Source organism: Homo sapiens, chromosome 14 (assembly GCF_000001405.40).
Source record: "Homo sapiens chromosome 14, GRCh38.p14 Primary Assembly".
In the NCBI taxonomy this organism is placed as follows: domain Eukaryota; kingdom Metazoa; phylum Chordata; class Mammalia; order Primates; family Hominidae; genus Homo; species Homo sapiens.
Window position 1 is genome coordinate 102,368,262 of NC_000014.9, and position 27,281 is coordinate 102,395,542.

At 43.9% G+C, this 27,281-nt stretch overlaps 1 protein-coding gene, 1 long non-coding RNA gene and 1 pseudogene across 3 annotated transcripts in view, besides 2 other annotated features; 1 reads left to right on the forward strand and 2 right to left on the reverse strand.

Annotated features, from left to right (window-relative positions):
- TECPR2 (tectonin beta-propeller repeat containing 2) overlaps positions 1 to 27,281 on the forward strand; it is a 139,537-nt gene that overhangs the window by 5,321 nt on the left and 106,935 nt on the right. For both annotated transcript variants that reach the window (NM_014844.5, NM_001172631.3), the window contains exon 2: positions 8,389 to 8,679. In NM_014844.5, the coding sequence (NP_055659.2) occupies positions 8,461 to 8,679 (219 nt within the window). In that variant the 5' untranslated portion in view covers positions 8,389 to 8,460. The remainder of the gene's footprint in view (positions 1 to 8,388; positions 8,680 to 27,281) is intronic.
- LOC124903389 (uncharacterized) lies at positions 1,483 to 26,551 on the reverse strand. Its single transcript, XR_007064350.1, has 3 exons — positions 26,480 to 26,551; positions 2,156 to 2,224; positions 1,483 to 1,514 (listed from the first exon to the last, which is right to left on the reverse strand). It is a non-coding gene; the product is annotated as an uncharacterized LOC124903389 (long non-coding RNA).
- Positions 5,977 to 6,058, reverse strand: LOC124903440 (uncharacterized; annotated as a pseudogene).
- Positions 7,078 to 7,137: an enhancer, noted in NCBI's record as "active region_9071". NCBI's record gives its function as "activates an Ori minimal core promoter by ATAC-STARR-seq in GM12878 lymphoblastoid cells {active_cell/tissue: GM12878}" and the evidence as "EXISTENCE:reporter gene assay evidence [ECO:0000049][PMID:35858748]".
- Positions 7,168 to 7,237: an enhancer, noted in NCBI's record as "active region_9072". NCBI's record gives its function as "activates an Ori minimal core promoter by ATAC-STARR-seq in GM12878 lymphoblastoid cells {active_cell/tissue: GM12878}" and the evidence as "EXISTENCE:reporter gene assay evidence [ECO:0000049][PMID:35858748]".

The following is a 27,281-nucleotide window of genomic DNA, read 5'->3' on the forward strand; positions in this document are numbered from 1 at the left end:
GCCTCCCAAAGTGCTGGGATTACAGATGTGAGCCACCGTGCCTGGCCTTACTGGGCATTTGTGTGTCTTCTTTGGAGAAATGTTTCTTAGACTTTGCCCATTGTAAAATTGTCTTTTGTTGTTGTTTTGAGATGAAGTCTTGCTGTGTTGATCAGGCTGGTCTCAAATTCCTGGGTTCAATCGATCTTCCCACCCCAGCCTCCCAAGTAGCTGAGACTATAGCCACGTGCCACTGCACCCAGCTTTTAAAATTGTCTTTTTATTATTGAGTTATAAGAGCTCTTTATATATTCTGGGTAAAATCTCTTTATCAGATATATAACCAGGAGATATTTTCTTCCATTTTGTGGGTTTTTTTTTTTTATTTTTGTCGGTGGTGTGGATTAGATGTATTTTTACTTTCTTGATGGTGCCCTTTGGAGCACAAGCGTTTTTCATTTCAGTGAAGTCAAAGAGCTAATTTTGATGGCTGAATGAGCCTGGCTTCTGGGGGCAGGTGTGGAAGACCATGGCAGCAGTGTAGGCGAGGGATATGATAGCTTGTACTGTGGCATGGCCACAGAGTTGGTGAGGAGGCGCCAGGCTTGAGGGAGGCTTGGAGATAGGGCTGATGGACTGAGTTGAGAGATTGTTGTACGGGTGAGGGAAACAGAGGAATTGAGGGTGAATACTAGGATTTCAGCTTGAACAACACTTTTGATTCAAAATGTGATTATGCTGTTACCTGCCGGACAATTGTGACAGTTTCTAATACCTGCTGGAGCCTAGCAAGGGCAGCCCTGCGCTCCCTCCCTGGGTTCTGAAGTTGCTTTTGGTAGGATTATCACTGAGTGTGCCAAGGAGATGGTCAGGGATTCTGACCTTTTGTAATACCCACTAAGACCTCCTAAGCCACCACAAATAAACATATTATCTGAGTAGAATAGTGCACTTGCTCTGCAAATGCACTTTTGAGGCAAATCTCTTGACTCCCTTCTAGCTAGACTGCAGTCTCAAAGCCCTTCTTGTGTAGAGCCTGCGAGCTGTCAGTGGATAGCATCAAATCAAGCGGATGGATTCTTGAAAGCTAAATGTCATCATTTGACAGAGCTACTATGAGGAAAAATATTTTTATTTTTAAAAAAGTTTTATTGATCGATTGATTTGAGATGGGGTCTTGCTCTGTCACCTAGGCTGGAGTGCAGTGGCTTGATCATGGCTCACTGCAGCCTCGAACTCCCGGGCTCAATGGATCCTCCAGGTTCAGTCGATCCTCCGGGCTCAATTGATTCTTGTGCCTCAGCCTCCTGAGTAGATGGTACTACAGGCACGCACCACCACACCTGGCTACTTTTTTGTATTTTTTGTAGAGACAGAGTTTTGTCATGTTGCCCAGGCTGATGTCAAACCCCTGGGCTCGGCCAAGTGCAGTGGCTCACGCCTGTAATCCCAGCACTTTGGGAGGCCGAGGCGGGTGGATCACAAGATCAGGAGATTGAGACCATCCTGGCTAACACGGTGAAACCCCGTCTCTACTAAAAAAAACAAAAAAACAAAAAAACAAAAAATTAGCCAGGCGTGGTGGCAGGTGCCTGTAGTCCCAGCTACTCAGGAGGCTGAGGCAGAATGGCATGAACCCGGGAGGCGGAGCTTGCAGTGAGCCGAGATCGCATCACTGTACTCCAGCCTGGGCGACAGAGTGAGACTCTGTCTCAAAAAAATAAATAAACAAACAAGCAAACAAACAAACCCTTGGGCTCAAGTGATCTGCCCACCTCAACCTCCCAAAGTACTGGGATTACAGATGTGAGCCACTGTGCCTGGCTGAGGAATAACTTTTTTTTTTTTGAGACAGAGTTTCGCTCTTGTTGCCCAGGCTGGAGTGCAATGGCACAATCTTGGTTCACTGGAACCTCTGCCTCCTGGGTTCAAGCGATTCTCCTGCCTCAGCCTCCTGAGTAGCTGAGATTACGGGCACCTCCCACCATGCCCAGCTAATTTTTGTGTTTTAATAGAGATGAGGTTTCACCAAGTTGGTCATGCTGGTCTCAAACTCCTGACCTCAGGTGATCCACCCACCTCAGGCTCCCAAAGTGCTGGGATTACACGCGTGAACCACCACACCCGGCCGGTAATAAGATTTTTAAAGGAGGAAATAACATTAGGCAATACTTACTGGTGAAGAGCTCAGTACTTCCGCTTGCTTGCTAGGAGATCTCATGAGCTAAAGCAGATACGAAAGTGCCTGCCAGAGATAGGGAGTAGAAGGTGTGAAGGCCAGGACGTGAGAGGCCAGGCCTGTTGTAATTAGAAGCAATTCAGTGTGGCTGGAGGACAAGTGAGAGATCCTCGGGTGGCAGAGGCCAGATCACCAAGGTTCTTGTAAGCCAGCAACACTTGGGCTTTAGCAGGAGGAAGATGGGGACCACTGCAGAGTGTTAAGCAAGGGAGTGATGACATCAGCTTTGCACATCAGGAAAATCCCTCTGTTTGCCACGTGGATGACGGGGAGGGAGAGGCGGGCAGATGAGCTGGGCACCAGAGAGAGCTGCAGGTGAGAGGTAATGGTGGCCCGAGCTAGGGGTGACACACTGAGGTGTGTGGGAGATGTACTGAATGGAGAATCGGGGACATGGAGAGGAGAGGAGGAGGGATCAGGGATGATGCTCCTTTTCTGGCTTGGTCAGCATGGCCCAGGCAACTGGTAGAAGATACAAGATAGGTAAGTGTCTTTGACATTGTTCATTTACTCTGTGTTTATAGCTAGGATGTAAGTTTTACTAATCCCATTTCAGATGGTAATTGGAGATCTAGAGAGGTTGAGCAGTTATTCCAGGGTGCCTCAGGTAGTTTTAGGAGCATTGGGATTTGAACTTGGGTCTTTTTCACTTCAGTATCATTAGCCACTCATTGTGCAGTTCTTCCTCGGTGGAAAGAGGGTCAGTTCTGTGGCTGTGGGTCTGAGACCTGGGGGTTGGGTGAGGTGGAACATGGAGTTGGGTGAACATTGGGTAAGGAGGAGGAGCAGAAAGTCTTAGCAGAAATGTTTGCTGTGTCTGCATTGTTTTTCCCAAACCTAGCGCAGGACAGTGAGACAGCGGCTCTATGCCTTTTCCTCAGCCCGTCCTAGACACTGTTTCTGCCAGGAGGACAGTTTTGCTGGGAGTTGGCCTCAACCTGCTCCTCCTATCTGAATGGTGGGTGAAGGACAGACAAGCCTGGTGCTAAGCTCATCCAGAGGCCCCCAGATAGGGAAATAGCATGGATTCTCTTCTGCCCGCTGGGGACTTCTTGGGCACCTGGCCCCCAGGCATGGCTGTCCTGACTCATCTGGGTGCTATGGCTTACGGGCCTCTAGATATCCTTTGGAAAAACGTGTGAGGCATAAATTGATATGAACATTCTTCAAGGCAGTTTGGCAATACATTTTTTTTTAATTCAACATTTCCACCTCTTGCAGTGTACTCCAAGAATATACTTGGATATATTTCTGTTGTTTTTGATGGCAAAATTAAAATCTTTTGGTTGAGAAAATTTTGGTTTATCCATACAGTGTGTTCTCTGCAGTTTTTCTGTATAGTCACTAAAAATCACATTCTAGGGGAATATTTAATGACATGGAAAATACTCATGATTTATTAAGTGAAAAAGTCTGTGTGTGTGCATATATGTTTATATACATATATCTGTAGCTATCTGTGTACATGGCATATCTCAGTATGATGAGATTGTGACTTTTCTTTACTTCTTTGTCCTTTTATTTTGAGATAGGGTCTCACTCTGTCACCCAGGCTGGAGTACAGTGGTATAATCAGCTCACTGCAGCCTTGATCTCCTGGGCTCAAGCGATTCTCTGTGTACCACCACACCTGGCTAATTTTTGTATTTTTTGCAGAGTCAGGATCTTGCCATGTTTCCCAGGCTGGTCTCAAATTTCTGGCCTCAAGTGATCTACCCACCTTGGCCTCCCAAAGTGCTAGGATTACAGGTGTGACCTACTGCACCCAGCTGCCTTTGTACTTTTCTTTTCTTTTTTTTTTTTGAGATTGAGTTTCACTCTTGTTGCCCAGGCTGGAGTGCAATGGCACAATCTTGGCTCACCACAACCTCTGCCTTCTGGGTTCAAGCGATTCTCCTGCCTCAGCCTCCCAAGTGGCTGGGATTACAGGCATGCGCCACCACGCCCAGGTAATTTTGTATTTTTAGTAGAGATGGGGTTTTTCCATGTTGGTCAGGCTGGTTTTGAACTCCCAACCTCAGGTGATCCGCCCTGACTCAGTCTCCTGAAGTGCTGGGGTTTACAGGTGTGAGACACCGCGCCCAGCCTTCTTTGTGCTTTTCTATATTAACAAATTTTTGAGGCCGGGCATGGTGGTTCATACCTGTAATCCCAGCAAGTCTGGGCGTGGTAGCTCAAGCCTGTAATCCTAGCACTTTGGGAGGCCAAGGTGGGTGGATCACCTGAGATCAGGAGTTCAAGACCAGCATGATCAACATGGTGAAACCCCATCTCTATTAAAAATACAAAAATTAGCCAGGCCTGGTGGCAGGCACCTGTAATCCCAGCTACTCGGGAGGCTGAGGCACAAGAATCACTTGAACCCAGGAGGCGGAGGTTGCAGTGAGCCAAGATCATGCCACTGCACTCCAGCATGGGCGACGGAGCAAGTCTCAAAAAAAAAAGCAACTTTTTGATAGTGAGCATTTATAACTGTTATAAAAAGAAACCTTTATTTTTAAAAAGTTAAATAAATTATGGCACATCAATGTGTGTATGAGTATGTATGTATGCACTCTTTAAGGAAACAAAGCCTTTTACTATTTCTGTGCCTTGGAAAGAAGAATAAGAAGTTTCTGCATCCATGAAGTGGAGGTAACATTCATGTCTAATGTTTGGGGATTGCAGGAAAAAAAAATGGAAGTAACTATGATGCCTACTTCATGTTTGTTTTTTTTTTCTTTCTTTTTGGTGAGGATTTAATGGGTTTGTGTGCTAAGAACAGTTTGTATTAAGTACAGACGGTTTTCAACTTACAGAGTTTCAACTTACTATTTTTTGACTTTAAGATTGAGCGAAAACGATACCATTCAGTAGAAACTGTATTTCCAGTAACCATACAACCATTCTGTTTTTCACTTTCAATATGGTATTAAATAAATTACATGAGATATGCAACACTTTGTGATAAAATAGGCTTTGATTAGATGATTTTGCCCAGCTGTAGGCTAACATAAGTATTCTAAGCACATTTAAGTTAGGCTAGGCTAAGCTAAGATGTTCGGCAGGTTAGGTGTATTAAATGTATTGTGACTTATCTTTTCAGCTTATGACGGTTTTATTGGGACATAACCCCATTGTAAGTTGAGGAGCATCTGTAAAAACATTAGCTATTCCCATTATTATTACTGCAAAAGAGGGTGGATTGGGTTCTTAAGTATCACAGAGGAATGCAATTATTATTATTATTGTTATTTACTTACCTTTAAGAAAGTTCTCATACGTGGATATGTTCTGCCTGTATTGGCTATTGTGACTGTCAGATGAAATGGGAATCTAAGGCTGGGCGCGATGGCTCACACCTGTAATCCCAGCACTTTGGGAGACTCAGATGGGCAGATCATGAGGTCAGGAGTTCGAGACCAGCCTGGCCAATATGGGGAAACCCCCATCTCTACTAAAAAATATAAAAATTATCCGGGCTTGGTGGCACACGCCTGTAGTCCCACCTACTCGGGAGGCTGAGGCAGAAGAACCCAGGAGGCGAGTGTTGCAGTGAGCCGAGATCGCACCACCGCACTCCAGCTTGGGGGACAGAGCGAGATTCTGTCTCAAAAAAAAAAAAAAAAAAGAAAAGAAATAGAATCTAAAAATGCTTGGAAAACTGGATATGCTATACAGATTTAGGGAATTATTATTCCAGCATTGAATTGGGGTCATATTGAAGAAAAAATGATACTTTGCTGCTCTTCCATTCCATTTTTTAGAATTTTATATTTAATATTTTTTCTTTTGCTCTACACATTCAGAGAAACTTCTCTAGTAATGAACTATAGAAATGATCCCAGAAAGCACAGCCTTTGTTCTTCTGTTCTTGTCACTCATTCCTTCCTTGCATATTTTCCTTTTATTTATTTATTCATTTAAGAGACAGTGTCTCACTCTGTCACTCGGGCTAGAGTGCAGTGACACAGTCATAGCTCACTGCAGCCTCAAATTCCTAGGCTCAAGTGATCTTCCTGGCTGAGTGCAGTGGCTCATACCTGTAATCCCAGCACTTGGGGAAGCTGAGGAGGAAGGATCACTTGAGCCCAGGAGTTGGAGACCAGCCTAGGCAACATAGTGAAACCCTCTCTATTTTTTAAAATGAAATATTTGTTTTAAAAGCGTGATCTTCCCACCTCAGCCTCATGAGTAGCTAGGACTACAGGCATGTAGCACCATGCCTGACTAATTTTTAAAAATATTTTTTGTTGAGGCGGGAGTCTTGCTATGTTGCCCAGGCTGGTTGTGAACTCCTGGTCTCAAGCAGTTCTCCCACCTTGGCCTCCCAAAGCACTAGGATTACAGGCATAAGCCACTGTTCCTGGGCCAAATTTTCTGTTTCATCATTCATTCATTTATGCAACAAATACTTGCTGAATGCCTCTGATGTGCCTAGCCCTTTTCTCCCTGCGGGGGGAAGAGGGGTGAGTGAGGCAGATATGGGCTCTGCTGTTATGGGCCTTACAGACTAGTGTGTGTGTCAGAGTGGCAGGCAGGCAGATAACCAGTCAGAGAAAAGAAAGGAGATGTGTGGATAGGCCGGACACGGTGGCTCACACCTGTAATCCAAGCACTTTGGGAGGCTGAGATGGGAGGATCTCTTGAGCCCAGGAGCTTGAGGCTGTAGTAAGCCATGATTGAGACCAGCCTGGGCAACACAGCGAGACCTCATCTCTACAAAATAATTTAAAAATTAGCCAGGCATGGTGGCATATTCCTGTAGTCCCAGCTACGTGGGAGGTGGAGGCAGGAGGTTCACTTGAGCCCAGGAGTTTGAGGCGTCAGTGAGTCATGATCTTGCTACTGCTTTCCAGCCTGGGTCACAGAGTGAGACTGTGTCTCAAAAAAAAAGAAGAAAGGGGCTGTGTAGAGAAAGTAAAACTGGGAGAGGTGACAGAGAGAGAACTCAGTAGGGGGAGGAGAAATCAAGTACGGCCTCATGAAAGAGGGCACAATTGAGAAGGAGGAAGAGCTCAGTAGAGAAAGAACATTCCAAGTGGACGGAACAGCCAATGCAAGGGCCCTGGGGTGAGAACGAGCTGGATTAATTTGATCAGAAGAGGGACTGGAAGTTGGTCAGTCCACTATGTAGAAATAGAAAACCTACAGTTCAAAGAGACCATAAATCCATGATGCAAGAAGTTTCTGTGAGAGGAGCTTGGAAGTCTCCATAGAACCTGTAGAGCTAAAATATCCCTCCAGGTGTAATCAGGTACAGAGCATCTACCTGGACTGTTACAGCCTGCCTGTCAGAGCTGTGACTGTGCTGTTGTCAAGAGCCTAGGACTTGGAGGGAAAAGACCTAGAGTCAAGTCTCGGCTGTTTGATCTTGAGTGAGTCTCATGACCCTCTGGCCCCCAGTCCCTTCTAAAAGTTAGGGATGATGCTACCTGCCTTATAAGGTAGGGTCAGGATTAAATCAGTGAGTGAGCACTTTGTGAAAGATGGCGTGCATGGAAGGGTTGCATATCTTTAGTAAGGGAAGCTTTGAAGCCAAAGTGCAAGTGGGTGGGTCTCCATGTGGAACAGAGTAAGGTGCTGTGTGGCTGGACTCTTGAGCGCTGAGGAGGCTGTGGGCATCCAACCAGGCCAGGGCACCTGTTCTTCACCATCTCATTAACACAGCCAGCATATCTGCATCTGAGATTGGCCCACTATTCTCCTAATAGAGTGTCTTTCCTGTTTCTCTTTTCCATATCCTGTCCAACCTGGTGGGCTTCATAGTTCAGGATGTGTTCAGTGAAGCCATGTCTACACTCACTCTAATCCCCACTGATCTCTCTCTCCTCATGAAAACCCACAAATTATCACCTCATTACTTGTGGATTTGTGTCTTTTCACTATTTCATCTGCCTCCCTGTCTAGATCATAAGCTACTTGGGAGTAAGAACTGTTTTGTTTTTTGTATTCTTTCCACTCCTCCATGGCATTCACTACAACATAAATCATAGAGGTCAGAACATACTGAAGTGCATTTTGAGTTAAAATGCTCAAAAGTGATCTTAGTGACACGTGTTTACTTTCCCTGTTTATTTAAGCTCCAGCTATAATGTTTACCTGCCTAAAAGTTCCATGTTGCCAGTATTAAACATACTTCTTTTTGCCATGACTAGGCATTGAAAGGATTGTAATGCTTTGTTCTGTAGCCCCCAGGTTTCCCTAGATGACAAATAAACATTCCTTTTCCTGCGTGAAGATAGTCTGTGGAAACCTTGGCCATGGCATCGATATCAGAGCCTGTTACATTCAGAGAGTTCTGCCCGTTGTACTATCTCCTCAATGCCATTCCGACAAAGATCCAGAAGGGTTTCCGCTCTATCGTGGTCTATCTCACGGCCCTCGACACCAACGGGGACTACATCGCGGTGGGCAGCAGCATCGGCATGCTCTATCTGTACTGCCGGCACCTCAACCAGATGAGGAAGTACAACTTTGAGGTGAGCCTTGCTTTGCTTTTCACCTGAGGGGGCACGAGCCATAGCTGACGCTTAACATGCTTGTGTTCTAGGATGAGATAATTTACTTCTGATTTGCCAGAATATGGCCTTAATACCTCACCCAAACAATACTTTAAAACCATCTTTAGCTGAAGTGGAATATAACTAAAAACATTGGTGTTTTTAACTTTTTCCTGCCTCCAAAAATCTAACATCACTTTATTTATTTATTTGAGACAGCGTCTCGCTCTGTTGTCCAGCCTAGAGTGCAGTGGGACAATCATAGCTCATTGTAGCCTCAAACTCCTGGGGTCAAGTGATCCTTTTGCTTCAACTTCCTGAGTAGCTAGGACCACAGGGATGACTGCCACACCCAGCTAGTTTTTGTTTTGTTTTGTCTGTAGAGACATGGTTTCACTATGTTGCCCAGGCTGGTCTTGAACTCCTCGGCTCAAGCAGTCCTCCTGCCTTGGCCTCCTAAAGTACTCGGATTACAGGCATGAGCCACCACACCTGGCCTAACATCACTTTAAAAGAGAATATCACCTGAGGTCAGGAGTTCGAGACCAGCCTTGACCAATATGGTGAAACCCTGTCTCTACTAAAAATACAAAAATTAGCTGGGCGTGGTGGCATGCACCTGTACTCCCAGCTACTCAGGAGGCTGAGACAGGAGAATTGCTTGAACCTGGGAGATGGAGGTTGCAGTGAGCCAAGATCACACCACTGCACTCCAGCCTGGGTGACAGAGTGAGACTCCATCTTAAAAAAAAGAAAGAAAGAAAAAAAGAGAACATTTTAGTATTTAAAACTTACTACAACACTTTGAAAGCAGATATTTTTTTCCTAAGTGTTTACAGGAGCAGGCACATGCCTGTTTTTCAAAGTTTTGAATAATCTCTAGTTCTTCTCTTGAAATTATGATGAAAAAAGGATGTATATGAATATTGGCTCATTGCCAGAATATGCACCTCTTAGCTGAGCTGAGGTCTCTTCTATAGCATTGGGATCCTGACCAATCTGTTTCTGCAGTGCTGTGGACTCAGGCATTTCTGTGTATTGTAGATATTGGTGGAGATGTTATTTGACTGTGTTGTGGCTGGCACCAACTATTGGTGAACTGTAATGTAATTCACCCACTTAGTCAATATCTGTAGTTTATTGAGTACGTCACTTTTGTGAGAGACTCAAAGTTGACTGAGTTGTGGCTTCCACCACATGGGACTCTATTCTGTCTGTGGTTAGGGGGCTTTTATGGACCAAGATACAGCTTTTGTATCTAAGAGAAATGTTTACAAATACTTGTGTTTTAATCAGTATTCAATATATTAAAGTTTTCATTTAAAACGTAACTAATTTAAGCCTCTGTGCTCATTTTAAAATAATCAAAATGGTTCATACACATACAGCCCTTTCTATGTGTCAGACATTATTCTTTAAAAATATATTTTTTAAATTTTTTAAAACATTATTTTTTCCTTCTCACTATGCTTCTTGGACAGACATATATTAACTCATTTTATCCTCACAAAAACTCTCTGAGGCAGATGTTATTATGATCTTCCTCATTTACTAAGGAGACAGCTGGTGAAGAGAGGGTAGGTGACTTGCCTGAGGTTGGCTGGTAGTAAATGGCAGCACCATCATGTGAACTTGGGCAGACTGTCTCTAGGGTCTGTATTAATATATATATATATTTTTGAGACGGAGTTTCACTCTTGTCGCCCAGGCTGGAGTGCAATGACATGATCTCGGCTCACTGCAACCTCCACCTCCCAGGTTCAAGCAATTTTCCTGCCTCAGCCTCCAGAGCAGCTAGGATTACAGGCACCCGCTATCACACCCAGCTAATTTTTGTATTTTTAGTAGAGACGGTATTTCACCATGTTGGCCAGGCTGGTCTTGAACTCCTGACGTCAGGTGATCCATCTGCCTCAGCCTCCCAAAGTACTGTGATTACAGGCGTGAGCCACCACACCTGCCCGTGTATTAATATTTTTTGTATAAAAATTAGAACTACTGCTATTTCTTCTCTTTGAGTAATAGCTCATGGATTCGACTGATCAAATTCCCCAAACATTTAAAACCATTACGTAATCTTTCAAACTGTAGTTAGGAGTTTAATAGTCTGAAATCTCTCAAATGCTTCAGACACTTTATAAGGAAGACTCGTGAATCCAACGATGAACCCCAACAAGATCTATCAAAGAAATCCATGCACAGAGGCACCCTAGTCACACTGCTAAAGATCACAATCTTAAAATCCGTGCACAGAGGCGTCCTAGTCACACTGCTAAACATCACAATCTTAAAATCCATGCACAGAGGCGTCCTAGTCACACTGCTGAACATCACAATCTTAAAATCCATGCACAGAGGCGTCCTAGTCACACTGCTAAAGATCGCTGTCTTAAAATCCATGCACAGAGGCGTCCTAGTCACACTGCTAAAGATCACAGTCTTAAAATCCATGCACAGAGGCATCCTAGTCACACTGCTGAAGATCACCATCTTAAAATCCATGCACAGAGGCGTCCTGGTCACACTGCTAAAGATCACCATCTTAAAATCCATGCACAGAGGCGTCCTGGTCACACTGCTGAAGATCACAATCTTAAAATCCATGCACAGAGGCACCCTAGTCACACTGCTGAAGATCACAGTCTTAAAATCCATGCACAGAGGCACCCTAGTCACACTGCTGAAGATCACCATCTTAAAATCCATGCACAGAGGCATCTTAGTCACACTGCTGAAGATCACCATCTTAAAATCCATGCACAGAGGCATCTTAGTCACACTGCTGAAGATCACCATCTTAAAATCCATGCACAGAGGCGTCCTAGTCACACTGCTAAAGATCACCATCTTAAAATCCATGCACAGAGGCGTCCTAGTCACACTGCTGAAGATCACAGTCTTAAAATCCATGCACAGAGGCGTCCTAGTCACACTGCTGAAGATCACCATCTTAAAATCCATGCACAGAGGCACCCTAGTCACACTGCTGAAGATCACCATCTTAAAATCCATGCACAGAGGCGTCCTAGTCACACTGCTGAAGATCACCATCTTAAAATCCGTGCACAGAGGCGTCCTAGTCACACTGCTGAAGATCACAGTCTTAAAATCCATGCACAGAGGCACCCTAGTCACACTGCTGAAGATCACCATCTTAAAATCCATGCACAGAGGCGTCCTGGTCACACTGCTGAAGATCACAGTCTTAAAATCCATGCACAGAGGCACCCTAGTCACACTGCTGAAGATCACCATCTTAAAATCCATGCACAGAGGCGTCCTAGTCACACTGCTAAAGATCACAATCTTAAAAATAGCCAGAGAACAATGACGTATTACCTGTAGAGGAACAATGATTTAAATGACTGTGGATTTCTCATCAGAAACTGTATTAGCCCGTTCTCATGCTGCTATGAAGAAATACCCAAGCCTGTATAATTTATAAAGGAAAGAGGTTTTATTGACTCACAGTTACGCATGGCTGCGGAGGCCTCAGGAAACTTACAGTCATGGTGGAAGGCACCTCTTCACAGGGCTCACTGTCACAAGAACAGGAGGGGGGAAACCATGCCCATGATTCAGTTATCTCTACCTGGTCCCTCCTACGACATGTGGGGATTATGGGAACTACAATTCAAGATGAAATTTGGGTGAGGACACAGCCAAACCATATCAGAAACAATGGAAGCTGGAAGACAGTAGCATTTTTTTGGTTTTTTGTTTTTGTTTTGTTTTGAGACGGAGTCTCGCTCTGTCGCCCAGGCTAGAGTGCAGTGGCGCGATCTCGGCTCACTGCAACCTCCGCCTCCCGGGTTCAAGCGATTCTCATGCCTCAGCCTCCCAAGTAGCTGGGACTACAGGTGCCCGCCACCACACCGGCTAATTTTTTTGTATTTTTAGTAGAGACGGGGTTTCACCATGTTCACCAGGATGGTCTCGATCTCCTGACCTCGTGATCTGCCCGCCTCGGCCTCCCAAAGTGCTGGGATTACAGGCGTGAACCACTGCACCAAGCTTGTTTTTTTTTTTTTTTGGCAGAGTTTCGCTCTTGTTGCCCAGGCTGGAGCGTAGTGACTGCAACCTCCACCTCCTGGGTTCAAACGATTCTCCTGCCTCAGCCTCCCTTGTAGCTAGGATTACAGGCACACGCCACCAAGCTCAGCTAATTTTTCTATTTTTAGTAGAGACGGGGTTTCACCATGTTGTCCAGGCTGGTGTCAAACTCCTGATGTCAGGTGATCCACTCGCTTCGGCCTCCCAAAATGCTGGGATTACAGCTGTGAGCCACTGCGCCTGGCCGATAGTAGCACATTTTTAAAGTGGCTGAGAGGCCGGGCATGGTGGCTCACACCTGTAATTCCAGAACTTTGGGAGGCTGAGGCAGGTGGATCACTTGAGGTCGGGAATTCGAGACCAATCTGGCCAACATGGCGAGAGCCCCATCTCTACTAAAAATACAAAAATTAGCCGGGAATAGTGGCTCATGCCTGTAATCCCAGCTACTGAGAAAGCTGAGGCATGAGAATCGCTTGAATCTGGGAGGCAGAGGCTGCAGTAAGCTAAGATCGTGCCAGTGCACTCCAGCCTAGGCGACAGAGTGAGACTCCATCTGAAAAATAAAATGAAGTTCTGAGAGAATTGTCAACCCGAAATTCTTTACTCAGTGAAAATACCTATCAAGAAAGGTGAAATGAAAGTATTACCAGATGAAGGAAAACTTAAGAGGGTTCGTTGCCAACCGACCTGCTCTAAAGTCATTGCTAAATGAAGTTCTTTAGACAGAAGGGAACTTTGTACATCAAGAATGAAGAATGGTAAATACCTGGGTAATAAATACAATAGATGATTTTTCCCCTATTGAGTTCTTTAAAATATATTTGACAGTTGAAAACAAAAATTATAACTGATCAAGTTTTAACAGATGTAGATGTAGTAATATCTAAGACGAGTACAACATAAGTAAGGGAGAGTAAGGTATCCTATACATTTGTACATTCTTCTTGAAGAGGTACAATATTGATTCTAAGTAGATTTTGAAAAATTACGTATAGGCCGGGCACGGTGGCTCACGCCTGTAATCCCAGCACTTTGGGAGGCCGAGGCGGGTGGATCACGAGGTCAGGAGATCGAGACCATCCAGGCTAACATGGTGAAACCCTGTCTCTACTAAAAATACAAAAAATGAGCCAGGTGTGGTGGCGGGCTCCTGTAATCCCAGCTACTCAGGAGACTGAAGCAGGAGAATTGCTTGAACCCAGGAGGCAGAGGTTGCAGTGAGCCAAGATCGCGCCATTGCACTCCAGCCTGGGCAATGAGAGTGAAACTCCGTCCCAAAAAAAAAAAAGAAAGAAAGTTGGAGTGGCTGTATTAATATCAAGGTTTTCTTCTGTGCAAAGAAATAACCAGGGGTAAAAAAGACATTACATAATAACAGATTCGTATATGTCCCTTAACAACATAGCTTCACACAATACACGAAGCAGAAATGGACAAATCTGCAATTACATGTGGAGACTTCAGTATTCCTCTCTCAATAATAGAAGTAGTAGACAGAAAACCAACAGGATGTAGAAGAACTGAACAACACCATCAGCCAACTTGGTCTAATTCACATTTATAGAACACTCAGCTGAATATACATTCTTTGCAAGTGCACATGGAACATTCATCAATATAGACCATGTCCTGAGTTAGAAAACATACCTCAACACATTTAGAGTAGACTAAGCTTTCCAGGCCCTTGTGTTTTACTTTGTTTTTTCACTTTTCTTTAAAATATAATTTACACAAAGTTTGCAAATCTTTTTTTTTTTCGAGACGGAGTTTTGCTCTTGTTGCCCAGGCTGGAGTGCAATGGTGCGATCTCGGCTCACTGCAACCTCCGTCCCCCGGGTTCAAGTGATTCTTGCCTCAGCCTCCCAAGTAGCTGGGATTACAGGCGCCTGCCACCACGCCCAGCTAATTTTTTGTATTTTTAGTAGAGATGGGGTTTCACCACGTTGGCCAGGCTGGTCTCGAACGCCAGACTTCAGGTGATCCATCCACCTCGGCCTCCCAAAGTGCTGGGATGACAGGCGTGAGCCACTGTGCCCAGCCTGCAAATCTTAATAGTACCATGTGATGAATTTATATGTGTATGCCTGTTTAATCACCCAGTTCAAGATACAGAACATTTCCAGCACCCCAGAAGATTCTCTTGTGCTACCTCCTAATCATTACCCCTCCCCAAGGTAACTATTCTGACTTCTAACACAGAGTAGTTTTGACTTCTACAGAGTAGTTTTGCTAGCTCCTTGGGTTTTAATTCACTATTAAGTAACCTCTGGCAGTAAGGTTTATATGCGTTAGCGGAATTTGGACTCCTTACTCAGGTTGCAGTTACAACCCAGTTTTCTTTTATAAAGCACATGTGTCTCATTGATCACCATTGTATTGTCTTTTTTGTTTTTTTTGTTTTTTTTTTTGAGGCAGAGTCTCACTCTGTCTCCCAGGCTGGAGTGCAGTGGAGCGATCTCAGCCCACTGCAATCTCCGCCTCCTGGGTTCAAGTGATTCTCCTGCTTCAGCCTCCTGAGTAGCTGGAATTACAGGTGCCCGCCACCATGCCTGGCTACTTTTTGTATTTTTAGTAGAGACAGGGTTTTACCATGTTGGCCAGGCTGGATTCAAACTCCTGATCGCAAGTGATCCACTTGCCTCGGCCTCCTAAAGTGCTGGGATTACAAGCATGAGCCACTGCGCCCGGTCCCGTATTGTCTTTTAGAAAAACTGTATAACTATTTAAATATTTTCAGTCACCAAACTAAAAAACAAATACTAAAGTTGAAGTTTATTGCTCCCCAGAATGAAACTACAAATTACATCTGATGGCCATTTTTACAGTTTAACCAATAATTAGTTCTCTATCATATTATCTTTGTTTCGTTTTCCTTTAACAGAATACCTAAGACTAGTAGTTGTTCTTTTTTTTTTTTTTTGAGATGGAGTTTCGCTCTTGTTGCCTAGCCTGGAGTGCAGTGGCGCAACCTCGGCTCACTGCAAACTCTGCCTCCCGATTCAAGCGATTCTTCTGCCTCAATCTCCTGAGTAGCTGGGATTACAGGCATGTGCCACCCCATCTGGCTAATTTTGTATTTTTAGTAGAGACAGGGTTTCTCCGTGTTGGCCAGGCTGGTCTCGAACTCCCGACCCCAGGTGATCCACCTGCCTCGGCCTCCCAAAGTGCTGGGATTACGGGTGTGAGCCACTGCATCCGGCCGGAAGTTGTTTTTATTTTTTTACTATTTTTAATTTTTTTAAAGAGGTTTATTTGGCCCACAATTCTGTAGCTGGAAAGTCCAAGATTGGGCAGCTGCATCTGGTGGGGACCTCATGCTGCTTCCACTCATGGTGGGAATTGGAAGGGGACCAGGTGTGTATCAAGAGATCACATGGTAGGCCGGGCATGGTGGCTCAGGCCTGTAATCCCAGCACTTCAGGAGGCCAAGACAGGCGGATCACGAGGTCAGGAGTTTGAGATCAGCCTGGACAACATGGTGAAACCCCATCTCTACTAAAAATAGAAAAATTAGCCAGGCATGGTGGCCCATGCCTGTAATCCCAGCTACTCAGGAGGCTAAGGCAGGAGAATCACTTGAACCCGGGAGGCGGAGATTGCAGTGAGCCAAGACTGCACCACTGCACTCCAGCCTGGGTGATGGAGCAAGACACCACCTCAAAAAAAAATATATATATATATATGTGTGTGTGTGTGTATATATATATACACATATATATGTATATGTATGTGTGTGTATATATATATATCTATATCTCACATGGTCACATGGCAAGAGAGGAAGCAAGACAGGAACCAAGGATGCCAGACTCATTTTCTTTTCCTTTCCTTTTTTTTTTTTTTTTTTTTTTTTTTTGAGACAGAGTTTCACTCTTGTTGCCCTGGCTGGAGTGCAGTGGTGCAATCTCGGCTCACTGCGACCTCTGCCTCCTAGGTTCCAGCAATTCTCCTGCCTCAGCCTTCCGAGTGGCCAGGACTACAGGTGTGCGCCACCACATCTGGCTAATTTTTGTATGTTTAGTAGAGACAGGGTTTCACCATGTTGGCCAGGCTGGTCTCAAACTCCTGACCTCAGGTGATCCACATGCCTCACCCTCCCAAAGTGCTGGAATTACAGGCATGAGCCACGGCACCCGGCTCTTTTTCTTTTAGTATGGAGTGCTTCACAAATTTGTGTGCCATCCTCGTGCAAGGAAGCCAGACTCTTTTTAACAACCTGCTGTCTTGGAAACTAATCCAGTCCTTGGAGAGTGAGCACTCATTCACCCATGAGGAGGGCATTAATCTATTCATGAGGGATCTACCCCCATGGCCCAAACACCTCCTACTAGGCCCCACCTCCCAGCACTGCCACTTTGGGGATCAGACTTCAACATAAATTTTGGCAAAGACAAACCACATCTAAACCATAGCAGATATGATAAGTCACGTGAGCTTTGAAGGACTGTGACATGGTAGAACAGCATCCACAGGCTCTACCAGAGTTTGGTGGAACAGCATCCACAGGCTCTACCAGAGTTTGAGGGAGCAGCATCCACAGGCTGTACCAGAGATTGAGGGAAGCTGGTACAAATTACTGGATCCAGCACCATAGAAGGGGACTCTGGGAGAATCCCATGTAAAGATTTTAGCTAGTCCAGGCATAGTGGCACACACCTGTAATCCCAGCACTTTGGGAGGCCGAGGCGGACAGATAGCTTGAGCTCAGGAGTTCGAGACTAGCCTTGGCAATACAGCAAGACCCCCATCTCTACGAAAGAATACAAAAATTATTCAGGCGTGATGGCGTGTACCTGTAGTCCCAGCTACTCAGGAGGCTCAGGTGGGAGGATCATTTGAGCCCAGGAGGTCGAGGTCGTAGTGAGCCGAGATCGAGCCACTGCACCCTAACCTGGGCATCAAAGTGAGACCCTGCCTCAAAAAAAAAAAAAATTTAGCTAGTTATCCTTTAAATGTATTTCACCCATACATGCATATGCCTGCTGTGTACCTACAAAAACTTTTTAAATCTAAAATATTAACATTTGGAAAAAAAATGTATTTTGCTGGGGCCAAAATCCATACTTGGTAGCCCTGAGTATCAACAGCATTTTTTGAGCGCCCATTATATATAGGATATCAAACTTATAATTGTGGAGAATCACAAGGGAGGTATAAAATAAATTTCTTGTCCAGGCACGGTGGCTCACGCCTATAATCCCAGCACTTTGGTAGGCCGAGGCAGGCAGATCATTTTGAGCTCAGGAGTTTGAGAGCAGCCTGAGCAACATGGCAAAACCCCATCTCTACTAAAAATATAAAAATTACCCGGGTGTGGTGGCGGGCACCTGTAATCCCAGCTACTCAGGAGACTGAGGCTGGAGAATTGCTTGAACCCAGGAGGTGGAGGTTGCAGTGAGTAGAGATTGCGCCACTGCACTACAGCCTGGGCGACAGAGCAAGACTCTGTCTCAAAAATAAAATAAAGTGAAAATTTTTTTTTTGGCAAGAATGTAGAATTTAGAGGTAGAAGATTTAGAGCTTGGAAACAAAGCTGTATACCTATATGTAAACACATAGGAAAAGGTCTGAAGGAATTTTCACATGATTACTTAACTCTAGGTAGGGATTAAGATTGGGATGGGCTGAGGGAGGAAGAGTGAAAGGGAATTACGTATTTTTTTAACTTTACTGAGGAATTACTAGAAATTTTTGGTACATATTACACGCATAAACACAGCAACACAAAGATTTGTTTTGAGCTTTGGCTGCCAGTTATTAGTGGTTTAACCCCAGAGATGAATTAAATATTTATGTTGTTGTTGTTGTCATTTTCATCATGAGAGCTGGCTGGGTCTTAGAATCATTTGGTACAATCCCCACTTTTTATAGATAAAGAAATTCTAAGATTCCTGCTTCAAGGCACGTATCTCTGATTGCCTAACCATTGTGCTTACTTCTTGTGAGAGGAGGTAGGCCCTCTGTGCAGTCTGTGGATTTCAAGGATATGGAATACAGATGCGTGGTCTCTTTGGAATGTCCAAGTCGAAAGTTAAAGATGCATTAACTAGTTTAGGGAAAATCTAAGATTTTATGGGAAGATAAATAAAAAAGTTTATGCTCAAATAAATCCATGTATGGCATGATTGAAAGATTATGTTTTTAAATGAAGTTATGTTTCCTAAAGAGGAAAGCAGACCTTTTCTGTGGTAAATATAGCCTTGCATGTGTTTTCAAGAATGGTGCTTTGGAAACCATTTTTTTCTACAGAAGTTAGTGGGAGAGGGCAGATGGAAACACAGATTCTTCCTACCTAGTGCCAAAAGCACTGAGAAAATGTTGCAAGGAGCTAATAACAAGTACAAAAATGTTAGAAATGTGTTAAATATATAGGTCTGATATGTGTAAGCATAGACCAAAAAGACTACCTGACCTGAGTTTCTAATGTTCTGTTTTGAAGTTAAACATATGATCCCTTTTCCTTAGCATTCAACAAGCCAATGAGATTTCATGGATTTGCCTTCAGAGCTGTCTTTTTTTTTTTTTTTGAGACGGAGTCTTGCTCTGTCCCCCAGGCTGGAGTGCAGCGGCGCCATCTCGGCTCACTGCAAGCTCTGCCTCCCGGTTTCACATCATTCTCCTGCCTCAGACTCCCGAGTAGCTGGGACCACAGGTGCCTGCCACCACGCCTGGCTAATTTTTTGTATTTTTAATAGAGACAGGGTTTCACTGTGTTAGCCAGGATGGTCTTGATCTCCTGACCTCGTGATCCACTCGCCTCAGCCTCCCAAAGTGCTGGGATTACAGGCGTGAGCCACCACACCTGGCTGGGTGGTTGCAGTTTTAAATAGCATTCCAGGGAAGGTCTGACTGAGAAGGTGACAGTTGAACAAAGACGTAAAGAGCATGACCAACACACCATACTGACATGTCTGTATTCCAAGAAAACGGAAGGGAAAGGCACTGAGCCTGAAACATGTCTTGGATATTTCGCATTGAGAAAAGTCATGCTTCAGAATGTTACAAGTATTTCATTGGCTTATACTTTATAGACATATTTTAAAGAGGTGCAGAAAGGACAGTTTTTGTCTCACCATAGCAGCCAAGGTGCATTTGCCCAGTGCCTTCCATTGTCTTTCCCTGTGGGAGTAACTTTTAGGTCCAGTGATGAGGAGCCTGTGATGTCTGTGTTCTGGTTTGTTGATAACATTACCATACAGGGCTTCACGGGTGTCCTTCTTAGCATGGATTGCTTCCATTCATTGGTTGCTGGAAAATTTGCTTTCAAATGTTTTTAACAGTGACTCTTAGGGAAAAAAAATACATTTTATTAGATGTCCATTCTCCCTAAATTTACCTGAGTTCAACTGAATTCCAATAGGTTTTTTTTTAGTGTTAATTTAAAAAAACAAGCTGGCCAGGTGTGATGGCTCATGCCTGTAATCCCAGCACTTTGGGAGGCCAAGGTGGGCGGATCACTTAAGGTCAGGAGTTTGAGACCAGCCTGGCCAGTATGGTGAAACCCCATCTCTACTAAAAATACAAAAATTGGCTGGGCGCAGTGGCTCACGCCTGTTAACCCAACACTTTGGGAGGCCGAGGCAGGAGGATCACGAGGTCAGGAGATCGAGACCATCCTGGCTAACATGGTGAAACCCTGTCTCTACTAAAAATACAAAAAAAAGGCCGGGTGCGGTGCCTCACACCTGTAATCCCAGCACTTTGGGAGGCTGAGGCGGGCGGATCACGAGATCAGGAGATGGAGGCCATTGGGCTAACATGGTGAAATGCTGTCTCTACTAAAAATATAAAAAATTAGCCGGGTGAGATGGCAGGCACCTGTAGTCCCAGCTACTCGGGAGGCTGAGGCAGGAGAATGGCGTGAATCCAGGAGGCGGAGCTTGCAGTGAGCCGAGATTGCGCCACTGCACTCCAGCCTGGGCGACAGAGCAAGACTCCGTCTCAAAAAAAAAAAAAAAAAAAATTAGCTGGATGTGGTGGCACGTGCCTGTAGTCCCAGCTACTCAGGAGGCTGAGGCAGGAGAATTGCTTGAACCTGGGAGGTGGAGGTTGCAGTGAGCCGAGATTGTGCCACTGCACTCCAGCCTGGGCAACAAGAGTGAAACTCCATCTCAAAAAAATAAAAATAAATAAATAAATAAATAATAAAAATACAAAAATTAGCCAGGTGTGGTGGCACACACCTGTAATCCCAGCTACTTGGGAGGCTGAGGCAGGAGAATCATTTGAACCTGGGAGGCAGAGGTTGCAGTGAGCCGAGATTATGGCACTACACTCCAGCCTGGGTGACAGAGCAAGTCTCTGTCTTAATAAATACATAAATAAAAATGATAAGCTGATTTAAAAATGCATATGAAATTGTAGTGGGTGGAATAGTCATACTAGTGGAAAAGAGGAAGCAAATGGGAGAAGTTGCTATTAGGTAACAAAACTTATAGAGCTTTAGTAATTAAGGGAGTGTGGTATTAGCACAAGAAAAGATACATAGATCACTGGAACAGATTAGAGAAGTCAGAAGACCAACATGTATATGGATACTTGAGTAATTGCAAAGGTGATACGACAAAGTCTTTTTCAGTAAATGATGTGGGACAGCTGGATATGAATGGGAAGAAAAATGAAACTGGATCCCTACCTCACTTCATATGGTGGTTATTTTGAGCACTTTAAAGTATTAATGCCACTGTCTCTTGACTGCTGAGATTCTGCTGGCAGTGTAATTATTTCCTTTACCGGGAATTTGCCTTGTCTGTTTCTGCTTTAGATCTTCTCTAATGATAGAGTCCCTGGCTTTAGGCTTCTTCCTTCAACTCCAGTGGATATTCCCTACTTTGTTTTGTCCTATGGAGTTAAGAAAATTATTCCAGAAAAGCAGATATCTTTGTTTAACTTCCAGATCATTAAAAAGTTGTGTTAGTATTCAAACATTAAACAGATGTTCTTTGTTAGTAAAAGGAGGAAAATAGTGTAACCATTCTTAATAATTGAATGAATTCATATTTGGTCTTAAATATTTCAAAATATTTCAGATCAATTCTTTGGTATGCTAGTGGTTTCTACTGAAGGTTAAGCTTTGACCTACTAAAAGCAGCTCATAAAGAAAGCTTTGTCAGACTTCAGTTCCCATGAACCTGCTCACAAAGAACACTTTTTCCCAATGTAGTTTTGTCTTGTGTATGAAAGGAAAACTGCCTGCCAAGGAGGCTAAGAAGGTTAGCTGAATGCTATTGTAATGGTGAGATGTTTGTCCAGAAAACCATTCCTGACACCTTTCAAATCAAAAGCCTTTTTTTTTTCCTTAAACTTTTTGATTGCTGGATTTCTGTTTGAGGAAGTTATGTTGCTACAATGAGGGTAGCAATAAATGCCTCCTGGGAAGTTGGAAATAAAGGCAAAGGAGAGTTAAACACAATAGATGAGATCAGAAATGGGCAAAGTTATCTTAAAGAGACAGAATGGCTCCCTGGCTAGAATAAGACTGAATTGTCCCTAGATCAAAAAAAGAAGAGAATGTGTGTGGCAGAAGGAAGAAAGTGGACTCTACACTGTGTTAGTTAGGAAAACCAGAAATTGGGCCAAATTGCCTGTTTAGTGGGAGAGATAGCTTTTGAGAGCTGTGATCCCGCTGGTGTGGCTGGCTCTGGGCAGATATTTGTATCTGAAATGACTCATGCTGTGGGACCCTTCCTGAGATCTAACACTTACAGTGGTTTGATCAGAAATTGCACCATGCTTGCCAAGCAACTTTTGGACTAAAAGTTGCTGCCCACGTATATCAGGGGAAGAATATATATATATATATATATAGTACCTATCTTAGCATCTGATTTGTATGACCATTACTTCAATGTAAAATAATAAATTGGCTTTCCAGCTTAAACTTCAATTTCTTGTATATTATATGATCATGAGACAACCTCCCTGGGCTGATCAACAGCAGGACGCTAAAAAGATTGAGTATCTGAGTCAGGAAGGTAGAGGGCCAGACCCTACATGTAGCTAATTCACCATTGTGAATCTGCATGTTAGGTAAAACTATGGATTTGTTTTTTGTCTTTTGAGACAGATTCTCACCCTGTTGCCCAGGCTGGAGTGCAGTGGCATGATCTCAGCTCACTGCAACCTTTGCCTCTGGGTTCAAGAGATTCTCTTGCCTCAGCCTCCCAAATAGCTGGGATTACAGGTGTGCACCACCACGCCCAACCAATTTTTTGTATTTTTAATAGAGACGGGAGTTTCACCATGTTGGCGAGGCTGGTCTCGAACTCCTGACCTCAAGTGATCCGCCCACCTCGGCCTCCCAAAGTGCTGGGATTACAGGCATGAGCCACTGTGCCAGGCCTAAAACTATGGTTTTTAAAGATATACACGCATGTGGTAAAGCTATGAATCAAAGCAAGAGAATATTTCATCTCAATGTTAGGAGAGTGGTTTTGGTGGGGTGGGGTATGTAGTCAGGCAGAGGCACACAAGAGCTTCAAAGGTGCTGTTAATGGTCCCTTTCCCAAGCTAGATGGGGATTCCATGGGTGCTCATTTTTTAGTAACTCTAATTTAAGCTGTACATGTTATATATAGTCATGGATATATAATCATTATTTTAAAAATGAAGGCAAGGAGGATACCATAAAATGAGGTACTTCATATTTAACCAGCTGGCATCCTAAGCACCTTTCCTGCCCTCCCCTCTCTGCACCTGGCAGAGTTGATCACATCCTCCCCATTACCCACTATACATGGGTGTCAGTGCCAATAGTGCTTTGCTCTTGTATTATTGATGAGTCTTGCTCCTTTTCCTAAATTGTGAGGCCTCCTGAAGGCAGCACCCTTGTCTTATGAAAAAGTTGAGCTTCTGAGGATATGTCTTTGGTGAATTTTGGAAAACGTTTAGCCTTTATCTCTGAAGATACCACTTTTCATTACCCTCTCTTTTCATTTCCTGCTGAAACCCCTTTTTTTGTTTGTTTTTTGTTTTGTTTTGTTTTGTTTTAGACAGAGTTTCACTCTTGTTGCCCAGGCTGGAGTGCAATGGTGTGATCTTGGCTCACCGCAACCTCTGCCTCCCACATTCAAGTGATTCTCCTGCCTCAGCCTCCCAAGTAGCAGGGATTACAGGTGCTCGCCACCACACCCAGCTGATTTTTTTTGTATTTTTAGTAGAGACGGGGTTTCACTGTGTTGGCCAGGCTGGTCATGAACTCCTGGACCTCAGGTGATTCACCTGCCTCAGCCTCCCAAAGTGCTGGGATTACAGGCGTGAGCCACTGCGCCTGGCTGAGAACCCACTTATGTGTAGCTTGGACCTTTATGTTCTCTCTTCTATGTCTCTAAACTTCTCTTTCATGTTTTGAATCTTTTCATCTCTTTGTTGCATGGTAGGTAATTTCCTCAGATCTGTCATCTAGTTCAATACTTTTTTTTCCAGCTGTGACTAATTTGCTGTTCATTCCACCCAGTGACATTTTAAATTCTCTTGGATTTTTTCATTTCTATTTCCAATAGTAGTTGTTCTTTGCTTACATTTCAGTTTCCTGTTTTATTTTTAAAACATTTTAATCATTTTTCTTTTATGTTCTGTGTTCTTCAATCTAAGTGAAATACTTGGGGTTGTTCAGTGCTGTTATGGCTTGTTTTACTTGACTCATTCATGGGCCTGCTTCCCTATCGTAATTTCTAATTACGAGCAATGTGGCTGATCCTAATGTATGAGAACCCTGGGGGACCTGGATCGGGACTGCTCCACAGATGGGGTTTATGTTTACCAATGCCAGGCACCTTGGAGTGCTACCAACATAGAAGCACTTCAGATTAACCGTCTGCATAGAGCTTTGCTTGGAAAGAGAATAAATTCAAACTCTGATGCTGAATGGGGCAGGCTTATGATGACACATTCTTCGGAAAGATTCTTTTTTATTCGTTCCAATCAATGCTTGAGATAAGACAGATTTCCTTGCCAGCTCCATTTGCCAGCAAATCAATTTTTCCCTAGCTTACTCCTTCACTTAGGGTTAGGTCCTTGGGATTCTGGCTTGGCAGAGAATATCAGCTCCAGCTCCCCATCATCTACTCCGCTCTGAAAACCAAGGCTCCAGAGGTGTGCCAGATAGTTACAGGGTAGCCTGTAGCTTCAGGGCTAGCTTCTGTTTTAGTTTGGGGGCATTCTTCTTGGTTTTGGGGTCCTGTGGATTTTCCATACTTTCTTGAAAATTCAGCTGTGCATTTGAAAGGCTTTGTTATATATTGCACTCAGCATTGCCAGGTGTTTGGAGAGGGGTGTTTTGGGATAGCTAGGCTATTGTATTGTGCAAAATTAAAGCCTCATATTCTATTTCTATATGAACTGTAGTTAAGTGTTAATAATCTGATGTCTGGGATGTTTTGATTCTTACATCAATAACTATGACATTTATTAATAATCATATTAAATAACATTAACTCAAGCTCATTGGTTACATTACAAAGGACACTGATACATTACAAAGCACACATACAAGCACTGCACACCAGTATTGAGGCTTCCAGCCCCCTCTACATGATCATTTATTTATTTATTTATTTTTGAGACGGAGTCTCACTCTGTTGCCCAGACTGGAGTGCAGTGGCATGATCTTGGCTCACTGCAACCTCCGCCTCCCAGGCTCAAGCGATTCTCCTGCCTCAGCCTCCCAAGTAGCTGAGATTACAGGTGCGCACCACTACCACCTGGCTAATTTTTGTACTTTTAGTAGAGATGGGGTTTCTCCATGTGGGCCAGGCTGGTATCGAACTCCTGACTTCAAATGATCCACCCGCCTCGGCCTCCCAAAGTGCTGGGATTATAGGCATGAGCCACCGCGCCTGGTCATGATCATTTTTATTTTGGAACCATTCATTCAGAAAAATTTCACAGCCATTTTGAACTTGTGCTATGACATGGCAAAATCTCTAGTAAATCATTTTAATTCCTGATGAGTTCATTTTTATAATGATAAATTTCTAAGGAAAATATTTTGTTTTCAACTTCTTGCCACCATGTCAAGACTGTACATTTTAAAACATATTACATCACATTTTCCCTTCAAAGCAATGCCAGTGAATTCTGTTAATGGTATCATTCATCTCATGTTACCCAACTCCAGATCATAAAGTTTCCCTCATTCTCCTTCCTTTCCACAAACCTACCAAATCCTCTATCGCCAAGTCCTTTGGGTTAATTCACGGAGAAAGTATCGAGCACAGAGGCAGAACAGGGCCTCTGGAGAGTGTCACATTTGTGTGTGAATCCTGACTCTTGATTTTCACTAGCTTTGTAACCTTAGACAAATTACTACCAGGCACGGTGGCTCACACCTGTAATCCCAGCACTTTGGGAGGCTGAGGCAGGATCACTGGAGTCCAGGAGTTTGAGACCAGCCTAGGCAACATAGCAAGATCCTGTCTCTACAAAAAATAAAAAATTAGCTGGGTGTGGTGGCACACACTTGTATTCCCAGCTACTTGTAGGGGCTGAGGTGGGAGGATCACTTGAGCCTGAGAGGTCAAGGCTGCAGTGAGCCATGATCGGGCCACTGCACTCAGCCTGGGTGACAGAGCGAGACCCTGTCTCAAAACAAACCAAAAAACAAATTAGTTAACCTGTCTGGAGCTCAGTCCCATATTTGTAAAATGTGGCTAACTACAGCACCTTCCCTTATAGAAAGCTGTTTGAGGATCCAGTTATGCATTTAAAGGGCTTAACACATTACCTGGCACAGGAAAACAAAGACAAGCTGCTGTCCTGTTTTCTTTGTTGCTGCCATCCTTCTCACAAGGTCTCGACGGAGTCTGTCTTCATCACGATTTCACTGCCCTCATGCCTGTTCTGTTTACCCCTTTTCTAGACTGGGCCCTTACTTACCTTAGCCTGAGCTATTGTGAAACACTCCCAGCGGCTTCCTGACTTGCCCCACTCCCTCCTTCCGCCGTCCTGTCCTGCTCCTAATCGTGTTTGTCAGAAATGCCTCTGACTGATACACTGGCAAAATCAGAAATCTTCAAGGGATCCCCCTTTTTCTTGCTGTAGCTTAAGATCTAAATCTCTTAACCTAGATCACGATCTGACACTAGATATATTTATAGTCCATGAAAATACCCTGAAAGCTTTCAAGTACCAGATGAAAGTGAGCTCCTTCATTACCACCTCAACTCACTGTAGGCGGCTTTTCATGTGCAACAGCTAAGCTTTAAGAGGGCTGGGACTGTGACCTACTTTATTTTGTATTGTTATAGCAGCTCACTTGGTACCCAGAGCAAGGAGGTATATTTGTTTCTTGCATATTTGGCAGGTTGATTACTATATAAATTACTCTATTGAAGATTAAAATGGTTTACTGAAGATGTCGCCATATATCTTAGCAAGGTCAAAACAGTTGTGTAATTTTTCTGAATGAATACTTTCAAAATAAAAAAGACCACTCAGACCAGAAGCCTGAACATCTGTGAGCAATGCTTATACATGTGCTTTTTAATAAACCAACATGTTGGGCCGGGCACGGTGGCTCACGCCTG